At 40.2% G+C, this 20,978-nt stretch overlaps 1 protein-coding gene across 2 annotated transcripts in view; it reads left to right on the forward strand.

Moving 5' to 3' along the window:
- Window positions 1–20,978, forward strand: part of MYO1H (myosin IH) — a 137,912-nt gene that overhangs the window by 22,489 nt on the left and 94,445 nt on the right. The window contains exon 1 of one of the 2 annotated variants that reach the window (NM_001101421.4): window positions 14,944–15,016. The exons of the other annotated variant lie outside the window; for it this stretch is intronic. Within the exon in view, the coding sequence (NP_001094891.4) occupies window positions 15,005–15,016 (12 nt within the window). The 5' untranslated portion in view covers window positions 14,944–15,004. Of the gene's footprint in view, window positions 1–14,943; window positions 15,017–20,978 lie in introns of those variants that run through there. 2 annotated transcript variants of the gene reach the window in all.

Consider the following 20,978-nt stretch of genomic DNA (forward strand, 5'->3'; position numbering starts at 1 on the left):
CAGGTCGACATAATTTGTATTATGACCGCAATTCTATGAAGGTTTTCTTTGGACTTGTTCATTTAAAAAACAATGTAAAAACGCCGGGTGCCATGGCTCACACCTGTAATCCCAGCACTTTGGGAGGCTGAGGTGGGTGGATCACCTGAGGTCAGGAGTTTGAGACCAGCCTGGCCAACATGGTGAAACCCCGTTTCTTTTAAAAATACAAAAATTAGCCAGGCGTGGTGGCAGGTGCCTGTAATCCCAGCTACATGGGAGGTTGAGGCAGGAGAATCCCTTGAACCTGGGAGGCAGAGGTTGCAGTGAGCTGAGACCGCACCATCGCACTCTAGCCTTGGAGACAGGAGTGAAACTCTGTCTCAAAAAAAAAAGTTCAGATGTTACCTAGAGGCCTGAGGGAGCTTATGTTGCATCGTGTCCTCTCTGAGGACTCATGGTGCATGGATCATCCATTGCCTTCTCTTGCTTGTTTGTGCATTTGCTGGTTTTCTCTCCTTCTCCATAGGCACCAGTCTCCTCTAAGGTTCTTTCTCTCTCCATCTTTGCCTTTTCAGTCTAGTCCCTGCTGCCTTATTTGTCTCTAAGAGATGAACTGAGACTGCAACCAGAAGCACACAGGAACACGTGACTGTGGCCAGCATGAGGAGGGGTCCTAAGTGTGTGCCAGGGCCTGGAGACAGATGGTTCCTGACTTGCGATCCTTCAACTTAGGATCGTCTGACTTTACAATGACGCAAAAGCAATACACACCCAAGCATGCTCGTCAATTTATGATGCGGGTACATCTGGATGAATCCATCCTAAATTGAAAATATCAAGTGGAAAATGCACTTTGGACTTAGAATGTTTTCAGGTTATGATGGGTTTATCAGGATGTAACCCCATTGTTAAGGGGCACCTGTAGAAGTCACCTCATGAACCCTCCTACCAACCCAGGGAAATTTCATTGATTCATTTTATTTAGTTAGTTTGTTTATTTTAAATTTTATTTATTACTTATATATTTACTTATTATTTATTTGCTTATTTACTTGTTTATGTACTCATTATTTACTTATTTGTTTACTTTTTTTTTGAGACAGAGTCTCACTTTGTCGCCCAGGCCGGAGTACAGTGATGCAATCTCGGCTCACTGCAACCTCCACCTCCTGGGTTCAAGCGATTCTCCTACCTCAGCCTCCTGAGTAGCTGGGATTACAGGCATACACTACCACGCCCAGCTAATTTTTGTATTTTTTAAGTAGAGATGGGGTTTTGCCGTGTTGGCCAGGCTGGTCTCAAACTCCTGACCTCAGGTGATCTCCCTGCCCCAGTCTCCCAAAGTGACTGGCATTACAGGCATGAGCCACCGTGCCCAGCCCTACTTATTTGTTTACTTATTTACATGTTGGTTGGTTGATTGACAGGGGTCTTGCTATGTTGCTCAGGCTGGTCTTGAACTCCTGGCCTCATGCAGTCCTCCTGCCTCAGCCTCTCAAATAGCTGGGATTACAGGTGTGAGGCACCAGGCCCAGCAAGGAAATAGATATTATTATCCACATTGTTGTAGATGAGAAAATAAGGCTCAAAAAGGTTAAGCATCTAGGAAAGCCAGGACCAGATCCATTGAAATTGCCTGCTAAAGCTAGTACACTTCTCACAAGCTCAAGTTTCCTTCTCCTTTTTAGCAGGGTATTTTTCTTGTCTATGTATCTCGAAGCCTTTGTTTTACTTACAGATATTTTCCCTCTTCTTATATTTAGCATTCCTATTAGTTCTGTGATCAGTTTTTTCTTCTGGCTTGTTATTTGTGTTGCTTTTAAAATAAAAGCTTTATTGAGAGAGAATTCACATACCATAAAACTTGCCCTTTTAAAATGTACAATAGGTTGTAAAAGGGTAGTAGGTTTTAGTATATTCACAAAGTTATGAACTGTCACCACTATTTGAGAACATTTCTCTTCCCCCAAAAAGAAACCCTGTACCCATTAGCAGTCTCTCCCTTTTCCCCTCAGTCCCTGGCAACCAAGTAATCTATTCTGTCTCTACAGATTTTTGTTTCCATGGATTTGTTTATTCTGGAAATTTTATATAAGTGGCTTCTTTAGCATAATATCTTTAAAGTTCATCCATGTTGTAGCATGTAGCGATACTTCGCTCCTTTTCATGGCTGTATAATAGTCTATTATAATAATATGTCACATTTTATTTATCCATTTGTCAGTTGATGAAAATCTGAGTGGTTTCTGATTTGGGGCTATTATGAATAATGCTGCTGTGAATATTGATGTTTCTGGGGAGGCCTCAGGGAACTTACAGTCATGGCAGAAGGCAAAGGGGAAACTAGTGCTTCACATGGCCAGAGCAGGGAGCAGGTGTGGGGGGGTGCCATATACTTTGAAACAACTAGAGCTCGTGAGAACTATCGTGATGACAGCACCAAGGGGGATGTTGTTAAACTATAAGAAATTGCTCCCATGATTCAACCATCTCCCACCAGGCCCCACCCCCAGCATTGGGGATTACATTTCAACATGAAATTTGGGTGGGGACACCAGTTCAAACCCTATCCCCCGTCAATCATACTCTTTATTTTTAGCTATTACAATCTGTTTCTTCTTTTGTAAAAAACAAACAAACAAAAAAAAAACTAATATTTTGCCAGTTTTCAAAAATGCATTGACCTGTGAATTGGAATTGCATTAAATATATGTAAAATTATTTGGGGGATGATTGACATTTTTTATAATATTCAGTCTCTTCACCAGGAATGCTGAAGCCATCTTTTATCTCTCTTAGTAAAGTTTTATAGTTTTCTTTATAAGGCTCCTATGCATTTCTTTCCAATATTAGTGCCAGATATTTTATTGGCTATGTAGATGACATTTTCTTCCCATTTTCTGTTAATAAATCAATAGGCAATTTAAAAAATGTGTTTGTCTTATATTCAGCCACTTTGCTGAGTTTTCTCATTAATTCTAGGGACTTTTGCATGGTTTCCATTAGATTTTCTAAGCACATCATCCTTTCATCTTCAATCCTCTCCTTTTTCTTTTTTTTGTGACAGAGTCTTGCTCTGTTGCCCAGGCTGAAGTGCAGTGGCACAATCATGGCTCACTGCATCCTCAAACCCCTGGGCTCAAGCAATCCCAATCCTCTTAATTTTTAAAACCTTCAAGTGACACAGCAGTCAATGTTCCCTGACTCTTATATGAATCCATTTTGCTGTCCCTTGATGTTGTCTCTCAGGTCTCTTATTTCTACTTCTCCTTGTTCTTCCCAAGCCCTAAGACTCTCCTCCAGTCATAGACCTTTCCCTATTTAGCCCATTCCTTCTTCCTCACTTTTCAATCCACCTTGACAACTTCATTGCCTTCTAACCCCTGTTAACACCACATCTTCTGCAATCATGTCTGTATTCATTTAGAATGTTAGGGGAGAGAGAGAAGAAAAAGAAAAAAGTTCAACTCAAACTGGCTTGAGTATTAGACTGCACTTCTGAAAACACTTGGCTGGATCACGGGGTTCAATACTGACATCAGCACTTGGTCTTGTGCTCTCTCTCAGCTCTGTTTTTCCCTTGGTGGTTATTCTTAGGCAGATTCTCTCCTTAAGGTGGTCTCCACGTACTATAGGCTAAGTACCAACAGTTTAGCAATTTCAGTAGAAAAAAATAAGGACTTTTCTCTCTCAGACATTAAAAGAAAAAATCCAGAATGAACTGTTGTCAGAGTGCCTTGAGGCTCTAGTTAGTTAGTTAATTCCTGAACAATCCACTCTGGTTAAGAGGTGATACAGAACTCTGATTGGCCAGGCCTGGGTCACATGCCCAGTCCCCCACCAATTACTATGGTCAGAGATGGTGCAGAACTCTGACCAAGCCTGGGTCACATGCCCATTCCCGAACCAATTGCCATTGTCATAGGTGATAGAGTGCTCTGGGTCATGGTGCTTCTTTGAAGCATGGAGTTGTCTAACATGGGCCAAACATGGAGTTGGAGGCCTGGAGTCAAGGCAAAGGAAAACACACTTACTAGAAGGAGGGAGGCTGATGGGCAGAAAAAAACAGGAACCCACTACCCCATCCCAAAACTAAGACACTTCTAGAACCTCTCTTCTACCTTCCAGCTGGAACACAGTCGTTGGAGGGAAGGAAGGAAGCACAGAGATAAATGACAATGACTATGATACATTGTAACTTTTCATGTCCATTTTTGCTTCCAGGGGTTAAGAAACCTGAAAGCATTTTTTCCTGTGATTTCCAGAGAGGTTTTTTTCCCCTTTCTACTCTCAAAGAATTGAAACATTTGAAAGATATTAGCTTCATATATTCTTATAATTCAAATATGAGGAAGACCATAACTGTAGTAATGGCATGCCCACTCCCGGGGAACCATGCAGAGAGCTATCAGTGATAAATGTGAATCCCACCTCGATAGGATGTGTTAGTCTGTTCTCATGCTGCTAATAAAGACATAATGCAAGGCTGGGTAATTTATAAAGAAAAGAGGTTTAATTGACTCACAGTTCCACATGGCTGGGGAGGCCTCACAATAGGGGTGGAAACTGAAGGGGAAGCAAGACACGTCATACATGGCAGCAGGCAAGAGATCATGTGCAGGGGAACTCCGCTTTATAAAACCATCAGATCTAGTGAGACTTATTCACTATCACAAGAACAGCATGGGAAAGACCTGCCCCCATGATTCAATTACCTCCCACAGGGTCCCTCCCATCACACGTGGGGATTATGGGAGCTACAATTCAAGATGAGATTTGGGTGGGGACACAGCCAAACCATATCATAGGGGTTTGACTTCTGGAACCCTGCTTTTGGGAGGAGTGAAACCTGTTATGTACTCATTTGTGATCACAGAAGTTTTAATCTGAGGGTAGTACAATATGCACAAACCTAGCTGATCAAACCGTGAATTTTCCAACTCAGTAGACAGTTGGGATGTTTGGCAACGATTTTCTGAGATCTTTGTGAATGTATATGTGGATCTCTACATAGGTACAAAAAGCTCCCCAGACTTCAGCAAGGGTTTAGTTTAGGGGTTGTCTGTATCAGAAACTGGAAAGCTAAGAAAAAAAAGGGGAAATGTCTCCCAAATGCTTCAAATCATTTATTTGATGGATTTTTCGTTTTCGAGACGGTCTTGTTCTGTTGCCCAGGCTGGAGTGTGGTGGCGCCATTATGGCTCACTGCAGCCTTGAACTCCTGAGCTCAAGCGATCCTCCTGCTTTGACCTCCCAAAGTGTTGGGAATATAAGTGTGAGCCACTGCACTCAGCCTTTAAAACCATTTAGAATACCAACCCCTCATCAGACGAGACACTTTCAAGCATTGTACTTTAACAACCTAGAAAAAAGCCATAGGCCCAGTATTTCTCTTTCAACTAAAACTGTGTAGCTTGAATGGATGGCAACTCACAGGGCAAAAACAGACGTCTGAGGGCTGGCTTCTGACCACCCCTGTCTCTCCAAGGTCACATTTCCAGTCTGACCTCTCTTGGGTGTCTTGATCACATCTAAAGTTAATTTTCTGGCCAGGCATGGTGGCTCACACCTGTAATCCCAGCACTTTGGAGGGCCAAGAAGGGCAGATCACTTGAGGTCAGGAGTTAGAGAGCAGCCTGGCCAACATGGTGAAACCTTGTCTCTACTAAAAATACAAAAATCAGCCAGGTGTGATGGCACGCGCCTCTTATCCCAGCTACTCGGGAGGCTGAAGCAGGAGAATCACTTGAATCGGAGGTGGAGGTTGCAGCGAGCTGAGATTGTGCCACTGCACTCCAGCCTGGGTGACAGAGCAAGACTCCATCTCAAAAAAAAAAAAAAAAAAAAAAAAATCATTTTCCTTGCTTTCTGCTTCATTTTCTGCTTCACACCCATCTTGTTAGTTTCCAGAATTCTTAGGCCTCTGACCCTACATCCTGCCCTTATTTCTTGAAGTGAATTGATAAAGTCTTGTCCTTTTGCTGGGAAGCAATAGGGTTCCTGTTACGATGCTCAAGCTTACAGGAGGTTTTCAAAATCTTTATATTTTTCCATAAGAGAATAGTTTGTTCATAACACTGTATTGCTTCATATGTAAATTTTCAGGAGGAAAGAAGTGCTTCTCATTAAAAAATTAACATTTCCGGCCAGGTGCAGTGGCTCATGCCTGTAATCCCAGCACTTTGGGAGGCCAAAGTGGGTGGATCACTTGAGATCAGGAGTTGGAGACCAGCCTGGCCAACATGGTGAAACACTGTCTCTACTAAAATTACAAAAATTAGCCAGAAGTGGTGGCAGGCACCTGTAATCCCAGCTGTGCAGGAGACTGAGGCAGGAGAATTGCTTGAATGCGGAAGGTGGAGGTTGCAATGAGCCAAGATAGCACCATTGCACTGCACTGCAGCCTGGGCAACAGAGCGAGCCTACTCCTCAAAAAAATAAAAATAAGTTAACATTTCCACTTTTAAGCTATTGTTATGCTTAAAAGACTACAGAGAATATTTGGAGTGGCAGAGTCCTTGATGAACAAAATTCTAACCTAGAAACCATTAAGAAAAAACTTCTGACAAAATTTATGTACAAATTGAAAACAAATTTTGAAAAATCCTAAATAATGTTGAAGGGCAAGAAACAAACTGAGATGATTATTTGCAGCACATGACAAACGACTAATTGCCTTAAGATATAAAGAGCTCTTGCAAATAAATTAGAAAAGGACCAACAATCCAAAAATGTTGGGAAGAAGAGAGAAGACAAAAGCAGGGAGAGGAAGCCTTAAAGATAAATTCAGATGGCTTTGAAGCATAGGAAAAGAGGATCAGCCTTCCTTACCATTATGAAAATCCTGAAATAGGCAACAATCAAAACTTGATAATACAAAGTGATAGCCAGAGTATAGAAGACAAGTATCTTTGTGCACTGCTGGGAATGTCAATTCATTCATCTTTGATGTAAGGCATTATGACAGTGTTTAGCAAAATAATAAATGTCATGTAAACCTCGACTCAGTAATTCAACTTATAGGAACTCCATATCCTACTGTTTTCCATATATGTATGTCTTAGAGTCAGATTACAGCATTGTTTATAGTATTAATAGCAAAACTTGAAACAATTTAAACACTAACCTCTGGGACCTAGTTCAATCTTCTATGGAGAATCCATACAATATCCATTTAAAAGTACATTAGGCAATACGGTGGCATACCTACAGTATCACACACCTGTAAGAGTTCATTTTTTTAATTTATTTATTTTAGATGGAATCTTGCTCTGTTGCCCAGGCTGGAGTGCAGTGAGTGGCATGATTCTCAGCTCACTGCAACCTCTGCAATCCCGGTTCAAGCGATTCTCCTGCCTCAGCCTCCCGAGTAGCTGGGATTACAGGCGCCCGGCTAATTTTTGTATTTTTAATAGAGATAGGGTTTCACCATGTTGGCCAGGCTGGTCTCGAACTCCTGACCTTAGGTGATCCACCTGCCTTGGCCTCCCAAACTGCTGAGATTACAGGCATGAGCCAGGTGCCTAGCAAGAGGTCATTTTTAACACCCCCCTGTTCTCTACAACAAAATTATTTTCAGCAATAGTCATGAAATGAAACAAGTAACACTAATAGCCAGAAAAGAAGTAGAGACAGTGAGATATTTCATTGAACTTTGGATATATAAAATCATACAGTAAAAGAAACAAATTCAAAATTAAATATTGCAGTACAAAATGGGAGAAGTAGTAATGGATTAGTCTTTTTAAATTACATTCATGTATTTTTTGACAAAAGATTAGAAGGTTATTCTACATATTTGTCATTAGTTTCTGTTTTCAACTCCGGCAAATCTGTCTATGATTTTTATCAATATTGATCCTTTTTGCATATGCATGTTCAATAGATAGAAAGCAAGAGATATATAAATGGTTGGGGAAAGTCTTAAGGATAAGGTTGGTAGAGATTCATAAAAATTCCTTTTCATGGCCAGGCTCAGTGGCTCATGCCAGTAATCCCCGCACTTTGGGAGGCTGAGGTGGGCAGATCACTTGAGGTCAGGAGTTCGAGACCAGCCTGGACAACGTGGCAAAATTCCATCTCTACCAAAAATACAAAAAATTAGCCATATGTGGTGGCGGGCACCTGTAATCCCAGCTACTCAGGAGGCTGAGGCAGGAGAATTGCTTGAATCTGGGAGGCGGAGGTTGCAGTGAGCCAAGATTGTGCCACTTGCACTCTAGCCTGGGTGACAGAGCGAGACTCCATCTCGAAAAAAAAAAAAAAAAAGCCAGATTTCAGCGTTCCATCTCAAAAAAAAAAAAAAAATCCTTTTCACAGCACATTCCAGAAATGGTAATATTGTCTATGTCTGTTTCTTCAGATTAATTCTTGCAGTTTTCACATGCCTCCATTGTTGAAAATTTTCCACTTCACTACAGAATTCATCATACATTTCTATTATATTTGCTAAGAATTTCTGCAAAAAATCAGATAAAATGGCTGAACGATAGCAATCGTGGAAATAAATGAAGACCAACAAAATGAAAATAAGCAAATATTCAGAGTTTGCTATAGCAAGGGAGTCAGCCACCATCACATGCATTTGTGGCAGAGACTCAATGGCAGGCAGAAGAGTAGGAAAGTTTCATATTGGGGAAGAGGAGGATGACTTCAGGTTTGCCCTGATTGGAGGCTGTTTGCGGGAGAAAGCAGCAGGTGGGCTAGCCAGAAGCAGAGCATCCTCTGTGATGGGTTAGGGGTGCATATTTGGGCTACTCTAGTTGGTCCTAAGTAGAAAGCAGGGATAAAACTTAAGGAAGTTGTCAGTGATGAATCAAGTACTGGCTACCTTGGGCTGATTGTTCTAAGGCTTATTGTTTGACTCCCTGGGTTATTACTAGAGTTAGTGGTCTGATTTCTTACAAGTGTGATGTGTAGTCTGCTGGCTTCCTGGACTGGTTACTGTAGAAAACAGGCTGGCTTTCTGGGTAGGCTGCTGCAGGCTGTGGGTCAGATTTCAGGTTTTATATATGGCCTGGTCATTGATAATCTGTATGTTCAGTCTTTCATGGCATTAATATTATTTTGTTCTTTGTTTCAGAACATGTTTCAGAAATGATCAAAGCATTTAAATATTTATTTCATTTCTTTCAGTAAAATCAGTATGTTTTGTTGTTTTTCTGCCACACTGCTTTAAAATTTGATTCTTTTTTTTTTTTTTTTGAGACAGAGTCTCAAAAAATCTCCATCTGGATGACTCTGTCACCCAGGCTGGAGTGCAGTGGCACTCTCTTGGCTCACTGCAACCTCCACCTCCTGGGTTCAAGCAGTTCTCCTGCCTCAGCCTCCCAAGTAGCTAGGACTACAGGCATGCGCCACCACGCTCAGCTAATTTTTGTATTTTTAGTAGAGATGGGGTTTCACCATGTTGTCCAGGCTGGTCTTGAACTCCTGACCTCAAGTGATCTGCCCACCTTGGCCTCCCGAAGTGTTGGGATTACAGGCATGAGCCACTGCATCCAGTCCTGATTTTTTTTAATGTATATATTCATTTTCTTTTATTTTTCTGTTGCGTGGTTTATGGTTTTCTGTACAATTTCTGTGTGAGCATCTTCAGGAGACTTTTTTTTTTTTTTTTTTTGAGACAGCGTCATGCTCTGTCACACAGGCTGGAGTGCAGTGGTGTGAACATGGCTCACTGCAGCCTTGATCTCCTGTGTTCAAGTGATCCTCCCACCTCAGCCTTCCAAGTATTTGGGACCACAGGTGCACACCACCATGTCTGGCTAATTTTTAAATTTTTTGTAGAGACAGGGCCTCTCTGTGTTGCCCATGCTGGTCTCGAACTCCTGGCTTCAAGTGATCCTCCCACCTCGGCCTCTGAAAGTGCTGAGATTATAGGTGTGAGCCACTGTACCTGGCCCAGAGATAATTTCAAAGCTTGGTGGTTAGGCTAATTCTGCCTCTTCCCAAATATTTTTATGACTGATTAACCTCATTTAAAACATCACATAAGGGCCAGGCACAATGGCTCATACTTGTTATCCCAGCACGTTGGGAGGCCAAGGTGGGGAGGATCACTTGAAGCCAGGAGTTCAAGACCAGTCTGAGCCACAAAGCAAGATCCCATCTCTTTAAAAAATAATAATAACATAAGCAAAAATTAACTCTGAAAAAGAAAAAAAATTGCATTTAGCTATCATGATTTATTTCTAGTCTAGTGTATAAAGTCGAAAATATGTAGTATCACAGGGACTAGAAACACAAATAGTGCCTGAAGTAAGCTCAAACAATGTGAATTTGATAAGATCTTGCTCAGAAAGTGAACACACATAGGTAAGTTTGTATGTGCCAGGGGATGTTAGCATAACTAGAAATTCTCCAGATAAACTTCTGTGTAGAATGCAATTTAAGGGATAATCAACAAAACGAAATCATGTGAATTTTCTATGTCCATTATTATAACTCAACAGAAACCACAGCAATCATTTAATACTTGGGTCAACAAAAAAATTCTTTTTAGGGAGGAATATTTTTATCACTGACATTGCTTAGAATTGCTAATTTTTGGTGATAATAAAAAGCAGGCTGACTTAATTGTTTTATTATTATTTGTAAATTTTCTACAGACACCTAGGTATTCCTGCTATCCCCAACCCCCAACCCATATGCCACTGGAGATACTTTAACAGAATCGAACGATCACAATGAGAGAGTAAGGAAAAAATTCAAAAGCAAGGACTAAGTGTGTGTATATTACATGCTCCCACTTGCATGTGTTTTAAGCAATACATGTACTTATACATATTGATGAATGGAATGACTGAAAGAACATAGAAGACGTTATTGAAGTGGTCACTTTTCAAGAGGGAGTCTGGGAAACAGGAGTGGGATGGGAGCTAGTCTCTGTCCTAGCTGACTCGCTGGGGACTTCTGTTCATTGCACAATGTACAAGGCATTGCACTAGGTGTATTGCATAAGCTATTTCTTTAGTTTTTACCTGATGTCCTTTTTCTATTCCATGATCCCATACAAGGTACATTCCATTTAGTCATCATGTCTCCTTTGGCTTCTCTTGGCTGTGACAGTTTCTCAGACTTTCCTTGTTAAGGATGACCTTGACAATTTTGAGGAGTACAAAGCAGGCATTTTGTAGGTTGCCCCAATATTTAAATTTGTCTGATATTTTTCTCATCATTATATTGGTGTTAGGGGTTATTGGGAAGACCACAGAGGCAGGGTGTTATTTTCATCACATCACATTAAGGGCACATACTATCCACATGATATAACAGTTGATGTTGACCTGACCTCTTTTTAAACTCAAAAATATGACACCAAGAAAACTGTTACAGCTAATAAGTGATTTCAGCAAGGTTGCAGGATACAAGATCAATACACAAAAGTCAACTATATTTTTGTATGCTGGCAATGAACAATCTGAAAATGAAATAAATCTTACAAAAACATCAAGAAGAATAAAATACTTAGGAATAAAGTTAGCAAAAGAAGTGTAAGACTTGAACGCTGAAAACTATAAAGTGTCATTGAAAGAAATTGAAGAAGACCTAAATAAATGGAAAGATATCCTATGCTCACAGATTGGAAGACTTAATATCATTAGAATGTCAATACTCCCCAAATTGACCTACATATTCAATGCCATCCCTATCAAAATACTATCTGGCTTATTTGCAGAAATTGATAGACTAACTCTAAAATTTTTGGAAATGCAAGGGACCCAGAATGGCCAAAACTATCTTTAAAAAGGGAAATGAAATTGGATGTTTTACATTTCCTGATTTTAAAACTGACTACAAAGCTACAAAGACTGTGAGGTACGGCCATAAAGACAGACATGTAGATCAATGGAATAGAATTAAAAGTTCAGGTGTAAACTACTATGTTTATGGTCAATTGATTTTCGACAAGGGAGCCAAGATGACTCAATGGGGGAAAGAATAATTTTTCAACAAATGATGCTGGAGCGACATGCCACATGCAATGTTATAAAGTTAGATGTCTCCTTCACATAATACACAAAAACTTACTCAAAATGAATTAACTATAAAACTATTAGAAGAAAACACAGGTGTACATCTTTGTGACCTTGAATTATGCAATGGTTTCTTAGACATTATACTTAAAACACAAGAAACCAAAGGTAAAAAAATAGATAAATTAGGCTTCATCAAAGTTTAAGTCTTTTGTGTTTCAAAGGATACTATCAAGAAAGTGAAAAGACAACCTACAGAATGAGAAAATATTTGCAAATCATATACAGTGTCAGATAAAGTTCTAGTATCCAGAATATATAAGGAGCTTCTACAACTCAACAACAAAAAGACAAAGAACCCATCTTGAAAATGGGCGAAGGATTTGCATAGACAGTTCTCCAAAAAAGGTATAGAAATGGCAAATACACATGAAAAGATGCTTAGCATCGTTAGTCATCAGTGAAATGTAAATCAAAACCACAATGAGATACCACTGCACATCAACTAGCTTGGCTAGAATAAAAAAGGTGAACAACAATAACAGGTGTTGGCAAGAATTCGGAGAAAATGGAAACCTCATACATTCTTGGTGGGAATGTAAAATGATGTGGCCAGTTTAGAAAACAGTTTGGCAGGTCCTTAAAAAGTTAAACATAGAGTTAACACGTAACCCAGCAATTCCACTCCTAGGTATATACCCAAGAGAAATGAAAACAAGTCCACACAAAAATTTGCACCTGAATGTTGATAGCATTATTTGCAATAGCCAAAAAGTGGAAAAAACCCAAATGTGCATCAACTGATGGATAAACAAAATGTGGTATATCCATACCAGAGGCATTATGTGGCAATAAAAATGAAGTGTACTGGTTCATGCTAAAACATGGATGAAACTTGAAGACACAATGCTAAGTGAAAGAAGCCAGTCATGAAAGGTCACATATTGTATGACTGTGTTCATATGAAATGTCCATGATAGGCCAAATGTATAGAGACAGCAGATTAGTGGTTTCAAGGTGCTAGGGTGGGGAAAAGGGAGATCATAGATAATGGATATAGGATTTCTTTTGGGGGTCATGAAAATGTTCTTGAATTAAATAGTGATGATGATTGCACAACATTGTGAATCTATAATAGTCCCTCCATATTTATGGGTTCCAATTCCATGAATTCAACCAACCTTGGATCAAAAGTATTCAGGGAAAAATTTTCATCTGTATGAAGATGTACAGACACTTTTTTGTCATTGTTGCCTAGACAATGTAGTATAACAACTATTTACATGGCATTTACATTCTACTAGGTATTATAAGTAATCTGACAATGATTTAAAGTGTACAGGAGGATGTGCATAGGTTATATGCAAATACTATGCCATTTTATATCAGGCAATTGAGCATCCATGGATTTTTGAAGGTCCTGGAACCAATCCCCCACAGATACTGAGGTACAACTGTACTTAAAAAACAATGAACTGTATAAATAAGTGAATGTTATACGTGATTTATATTTCAATTAAAAATATATTTCAGATATGCAAAAATGTATGAAGAATCATATAGGCCAGGCGCGATGGCCCACACCTGTAATTCCAGCACTTTGGGAGGCTGAGGCAGGTGGATCACTTGAAGTCAGGAGTTCGAGACCAGCCTGGTCAACATGGTGAAACCTTATCTCTACTAAAAATACAAAAGTTAGCTGGGCGTTGTGGCGGGTGCCTTGTAATCCCAGCTACTCAGGAGGCTGAGGCAGGAGAATCACTTGAACCTGGGGGGCGGAGGTTGCAGTGAACTGAGATCCTGCCATTGTGCTCCAGCCTGGGCAACAGAGCAAGGCTCCATCTCAAGAAAAAAATAAATTATATTTAAAAACTAAAATATATGTCTATAAAATTATATATTTTTAAAAAACATTTTTAGTATACTATTTCTGGTTGTCCCTTTGTAACCAAATCAAGGATATGTTATATTACCTATTCAGTTACAAAAATGGAATCATTTCTTTAAAAAAGTCAATTGATCAAAAATTAGAGTGTCCAAAGAATTATTAGCATATTTCTGCTCTTGTCAGGGCTTGTGTTAGGGGTTCTCCAATAGGATATATATACAGAGAGAGAGATACATGAAATGGGATTAATAAATGAAATCCTGAGGTCAGTCGCTGGACCCACAGTCCTCCATCCAACAGGGGGTGCTGTTTAGGTTCGAATGAACCCAGCACTGAATCCACTGTCCATACCCTTAGCCATGATCCTGTTGCAGCAGCAGGCTCAAGTTTGGGGGCCCAAGGCATACAATGTGGTGGGTGATGGGTGGGGTTGTCTGAAAGAACAAGAATAGAACTTTATACGATGAGGCCCAGACCAGGAAGGGGTGAACTCTGAGCTTCATGGTAAACCCATCTGTAACTGAACAGCCTCCAATATCAGCAACCTTGTGATTTTTTATGAGATGATAGTGCCCCTGCATCACTTCAGCATCTGAAAATAATAATAAAATGAAAGTAAAGTCCTGAGTCTCCGTATTATGAAACCTTGAAGTTACCCAATCAACTTGATTCCATGAAATTTAAGGCTGTAAAGTTTTTCAAACAGAGCCAACAGGTACTTCCAGCAGGAGTTCCCTGGAGCTGGATCCTAGGCTAAGAGATTGGGAGAATTTTCTTTTCTTTTTTTTTTCTTTTTTTCTTTTTTTTTAAGCATAGCTCACCGAGGGTCCTGCCATTATTTCAATAGTCAGTGACTGGTCAGGAACATAAGCAACTAATCAAAGATCAGCAGTGTCTGTAACGTAAACTCAAGGGAGGTTGGGTTTCCAGTTCTTATCTCCCTGGAGCAGCCCGGTGTGCCTACATGTAGACGGCCATAAGATGCAGTTTCTGCCTCCCACCGTAAATTATTAACTTAGCTCCACCCCGCAAGCTAGAATCGCCTCATACCTTGTTGCTGGATGTCAGGCATCACAGAATCATAAGTCAGTGGGAAGCAACTTTTGAATGGCTCAAGAGGAATAGTTGTTAACAACCTGCTCTCCCTCTGTGCGTGATGGAATCCAAGGTAATGTGACTTGAACACTAGAAGGTGGTTACACCTGGTGACCTCTTTTCTACCAAGAACTTTCCAAATGGCTATAATGCTGGGCCTCTGCTAGGCCTGGAGAGAGAACTGGGCGTGTGAATAAGATTCTGAATTTATTTGATGAAAAATTCTATGTTAAGATGATCATGTAGATATCTCCCTTCTGTTGCTGGGGGCAAGTACGATGATTTAGAACCAAAGCATGGGAGAGTTACCGATTCATTTCACATTGGTCTAGAACAGCGTGCTGTGCAATAAAGACAGAAATGGTCTCTGTTAGCACTGCCTAATGCAAGAGCTCTTGGCTATGTGTGACTACTGAGTGGTTAAACTGTGGCTGGTTCCTGGGGAACTGAATTGTAAATTTGACTGAATTTTCATTAATTTAAATAGCCACATGTGGCTAGTGGCTACTGTGTTAGCATGGTTGGGTCTTAAATAATAGATGGTGACCTCATGTTGAAGGAAATTGTAGGTAATAATTGGCCTTACATGTAAGACTATTGGTACATTTTCTTCATTACCCTAGATACCTTGTGTTTCCTTTTAAATGCGATAAGCCCAACTTGTCCCAGGTAATGATCATTTTAAGAAGCTAAGACAGCTGTTTTTATTATCAGGTAGACAATGGTAAAGCTCTCCTGGGAAGATGGAAGACAGAACTTGAGTGTCAAACCTATTGCCTCTTTCCAGGAGTTAATTCTAAGCATAAAGACTTCCAAGGACAGGTTTTCTGGGTTTCGATAGCATAATCATCTCATGTGTTCTCTGTTTAGAAAACATTATCTGCTGAAGGATTGTTTCTTTTCTTGCCTAGACAGCCAAAAAGCTTACAGAAACATTTATGGATGTAGTTAGAATAATTTCGTAGCTGTTCACAGAAGCCTCAGGCACCATGAAGAAACCCTAGCTACAGCTTGTCATTGATCCATTCAGTCAATTACCCATTTCTATAGCACTGAATACTGTCACCTTGGCAACTGGTAACTCAAAATGGCACTGTCCTTGACCGAAAATGTATCTGAATGCCCATAACAAAGTCCTGGTTTTAGATGCCATTCTTGCATGATATCTCAAAGTGGTAACTCTAGGAAGCATGATTCATTGGGAGAAAATAATTTAGTTGATGGACAGAGAGGAGTATTTGCTGTAGGTCTTGCAGTGAAAGACAACAGATAGGTCTGTCCTCAAGGTCGCATGTGCCTTTTTTTAAATTGTCATGGCTTTACAAAATGCACGTAGAAGTAACCATGCAGATTGACTTATACATAGTTACACTTTTTTGAAAAATGGAGGAAGCTCTTCCTTCTTATGAATTAATTCCCAGATTCCTTTGGTAAAACATTATTTGGATAGAGTTTACTCCAGATTAAAAAAGAACAAACTGGGCTGGGCATGGTGGCTTGTGCCTATAATCCTAGCACTTTGGAAGGCCAAGGTGGGAGGATCCCTTGAGACTAGGAGCTTGAGACCAGCATGAGCAACATAGTGTGACCCCCCCACCAAAAAAATTAAAAAGTAGCTAGATATGGTGGCACATGCCTGTGGTCCCAGCTACTCCAGAGGCTAAAGTGGGAGGATCACTTGAGCTAGGGTGATCAAGGCTGCAGTGAACTGTGATCATGCCATGCACTCAGCCTGGATGACAGTCTGAAACCCTGTCTCAAAAAAAAAAAAAAAAAAGAGGCCGGGTGCGGTGGCTCATGCCTGTAATCCCAGCACTTTGGGAGGCCGAGGCAGGCAGATCACGAGGTCAGGAGATCGAGACCATCCTGGCTAACACGGTGAAACCCCGTCTCTACTAAAAATACAAAAAAATTAGCCGGGCGTGGTAGGGGGTGCCTATAGTCCCAGCTACTCGGGAGGCTGAGGCAGGAGAATGGCGTGAACCCGGGAGGCAGAGCTTGCAGTGAGCGGAGATCACGCCACTGCACTCCAGCCTGGGCGACAGAGCAAGACTCTGTCTTGAAAAAAAAAAAAAGTTAATATTATTATTATATTATTTTATATTATATTAAATATTAGAGATGGAACCATTCAGAAATGACCTCAGAAGGAGCTGAGTTTGATGAACAAAGCAAAATGAAGAACTGAAGCACCATGAATAACAATGCTGATTTTAGCGAGCATTTGCTTCGTGCCGTTGATTGTCATTGTCCACATGGTAGCATATTTAGTTCGCAGGTGATTCATTCAAAAGCTCACTTTATGCAAATCATCTGGGCAGTTGCCTCTTCTCTCCAAGTTAGTTGGGTTGTAGGGAATCCATAAACTCCTGATATGGTTTGGCTGTGTCCCCACCCAAATCTCATCTTGAATTGTAGCTCCCATAATTCCCTCGTGTTGTGGGAGGGACCCGGTGGGAGATTATCGAATCATGGGGGCAGTTTCCCCCATACTGTTCTCATGGTAGTGAATAAGTCTCATGAGATCTGATGGTCTTATAAGGGGAAACCCCCTTCGCTTGGCTCTCATTCTCTTCTCTGCCGCCATGTGAGGCATGGCTTTCACCTTCCACCGAGGTTGTAAGGCCTCCCCAGCCACGTGGAACTGTGAGTGCATGGAACCTCTTTCCTTTGTAAATTGCCCAGTCTCAAGTATGTCTTTATTAGCAGCGTGAAAACGAACTAATAAAGCTCCCTGTCAGATAATGAGGAAGAGACTCATGGCTTATATCCATGTTCATTCAATATTTATAGAAGGTGGCTTCTACTGTTTCAGATGAGCACTTTTCCATGGTTCAAATATGTTTTCCTGACTTTATAACACATCAAAGAATCAAAGTGATATAGGTAATTTAAAAAAGATTTTTATTTTAAAATAATGATAGACTCACAAGAAGTAACAAAAATAATACAGAGAGGTCTCAAATATCCCTCAATCGTTACATCTTACATAATTAGAGCACAATATCTAAACCAGGACAAATAATGCTGGTACAATGTGCATATACAGTTACATGCCATTTTGTTACATCTGTAGATTTATGGAACAACCACCATCAGTAATTATTTTTACCCTGAGTGTCATAAGTGCTAATTAATTAAGCTCATTAAGCCTTGAATAGACTCATTCTCATGTTCCATTAGTAGGCAGGTTCACTAGAAGATGGGTGAAGTGGTGTACAAGTAATATGTTGGGTTCAGCACATAACTGGGTTAGATAAATTGCTTCCTGGATCTTATTTCAGAGACCTTTATTTTTAATTTTGCAACTGATCTTACTATCACTGATTTTCACATCAAAGCTTGAATTTAAACCTGGCCAGGATGTTTTTATATTATTACCGTAAAAACTCTTATGCCAGGTAAAAATATGAACACTTTCCTCCCATCAGCCTCTACTATCTTACCTTATCTTTTGACTAACAAAATAAACATTTTATATCAAAACCGTGGGGGGAAAAAGCCAAATCACACAGTTTCACCGCAGACACTTATGACAATATTTTAAGGTAACTTCCTAATTAACCATCTTTTTATTGGTATCTGTTTAAAAGCCATCTAAAAGATTAGACATTGTGTCCAGAACTGGTGCCTTGTTCACTGCTCCTGTAATTGCGTTATATTTCTAAAGAGATTGTAAATTCCTGGGGACCAGGTACCTTCTATAATGCCTTGCACACAGTAGATGCTCAGAAAATATTTGCTGATTGGTTGTTCAGCTGCTGGGTTCACTTGAAAAATAAGAAGAAAGCCCCCATGGCTAGGATGATTGCAATCACATTTATGTCCCTGTTAGAGTCACTCAAATTTCCAGTGTCATCATTTGCTTCTTAAGCCGAAAACACGGATTCTGGAGTAAATGTTTCTAATAGTAGTTTTTGCAGATGCCACAAAATTATTTCATTTAGTCTCTGCTTGGTAAAAGCACCATCTAATGTGGAAGATTCCACGGTGGTTGGAGATGCTGCTTCAAATTACTGCATGCTTTTACTCATCGCTGTCATATGTAGAAAAGGAAACTCTATTTTCCCTTCCACGCTATTTTCTAGACATTCAGGATTCCATAAGATATGCTTTGCTCTCTTTGCTTCAGAATGTAACTTTTACTAGTGAGTGGGACAAGAAGTTTCTCTCAATACAGTCCAGAAGATGAAGCCTTTTTTCTCTTTTGGGGAATGGATTCCTTGTCGTCACATAAGCCTGGCTCTGTTCATAATACCACTTTTATTTTTTTCCATAAAAATAGCTTTTTAATTACATAAATGATAAATGACCATTGTAGAAAGGATCTTTTAAACGGTATAGGAAATTGTAAGAAAATGACAATGATTTGAAATTCTGCCAGCCCTGGCTAACAACGGCATGCTGAGGCCCATGCATCTTGCATTTCTTCGTGTGCATGAGCATATTCAGCCCTCATCTCTCACCTCCCACTCTCCACCTCCTTCCCCCAGGGTCTTTATGTAATTGTCTCCATGGTCATAGAAACATATGGGGCTATTTGGGTAGCTACCCACATACATACATGAATGTATTTTCATCATTGTTTATTCTACGAAACTAGAATCCTTATTACATACACTTTTGCTACATCTTGCGTGTCTCGTTATAGACATCTCTTGAGCCTTTTAGCATAGATCTAACAGATTATTTTTCTCCCCGACATGTATGATGAAGTGTGTTAAACATACAGAAAAGAAGAAATTGTACAGAAAACACCCACTACCTAGATTCTACCATTAACCTATTACTTATGCTTATTTTTCATCTATCTATCCCTGTAACCACTAATGTATCTTATTTTGGGGGGATAGATTTCAAAGAAAGTTGCAGACATCAGCATACTTCCCCTAAATGCTTTGCACACCTGCCATTAGCTCGTGTTCAGTGTTTTTTCTTTCGAGGTAAATAGTATATACAATCTAAAGCACTAACCTTGGATATTTCATTTGGTAAGTTTTGATGAAGGTATATACCTGTGTGACCCAAATCCCTATTGAGACACAGCCCCACTATTACCTCAAAAGGTGTTCTCATGCCCCCACCCAATATAATACCAGTTTTAGTAGAGTCTTCAAGTGGTAACATTTGTTGATGAAAATAATTTTAGTCCTTAATATTAATACTATAATCAAGGGTACTTGCCCCAAATACTCATAAACAATATTATTGTGAGGCTGGGCACAGTGGCTCATGCCTGTAATCCCAGCATTTTGGGAGGCCGAAGTGGATGGATCACCTGAGGTCAGGAGTTTGAGACCAGCCTGGCCAACACGGTGAAACTCCATCACTACTAAAGACAAAAATTAGCCGGGTATGGTGGTACACACCTGTAATCCCAGCTACTCAGGAGGCTGACGCAGGAAAATCGCTTGAACCCGGGAGGCGGAGGTTGCAGTGAGCCGATATTGCGCCATTGCACTCCAGCCTGGGTGACAGAGCGAGACTCCGTCTCAAAAAAAAAAAAAAAAAAAAAAAAAATTGTGGTTATAGAACTTACCGGGAAATAAACTGTTGCTTGAATTTTGATTCCTAAACTTGTAATTCTAGATGTTTCAAATCTAAATGATGTGATATTTGAAATATATTTAGGTGTGTCGTTCTTAATTTATAAAGATGAATCACGTTATTTTTAAAATGATCTAAAACAATATATAAAATGTTATCCGAGTATTATTTATACACCCACACACATGCACAGGGGTGGGGAGAACTAGAAGGAATATTCCACAATAAGCAGTCTTGCTCTGTCACCCAGGCTGGAGTGCAGTGGCACCATCTCGGCTCACTGCAACCCCCGCCTCCCAGGTTCAAGTGCTTCTCCTGCCTCAGCCTCCTAAGTAGCTGGTATTACAGGCACCCACCACCACACTTGGCTAATTTTTTTTTATTTTTAGTAGAAACGGGGTTTCACCATGTCGGCCAGGCTGGTCTCTCAAAACTCCTGACCTCAGGTGATCTGCCCGCCTCAGCCCCCAAATTGCTGGGATTCAGGC

This window comes from Homo sapiens, chromosome 12, assembly GCF_000001405.40.
Source record: "Homo sapiens chromosome 12, GRCh38.p14 Primary Assembly".
Classification (NCBI taxonomy): Eukaryota; Metazoa; Chordata; class Mammalia; order Primates; family Hominidae; genus Homo; species Homo sapiens.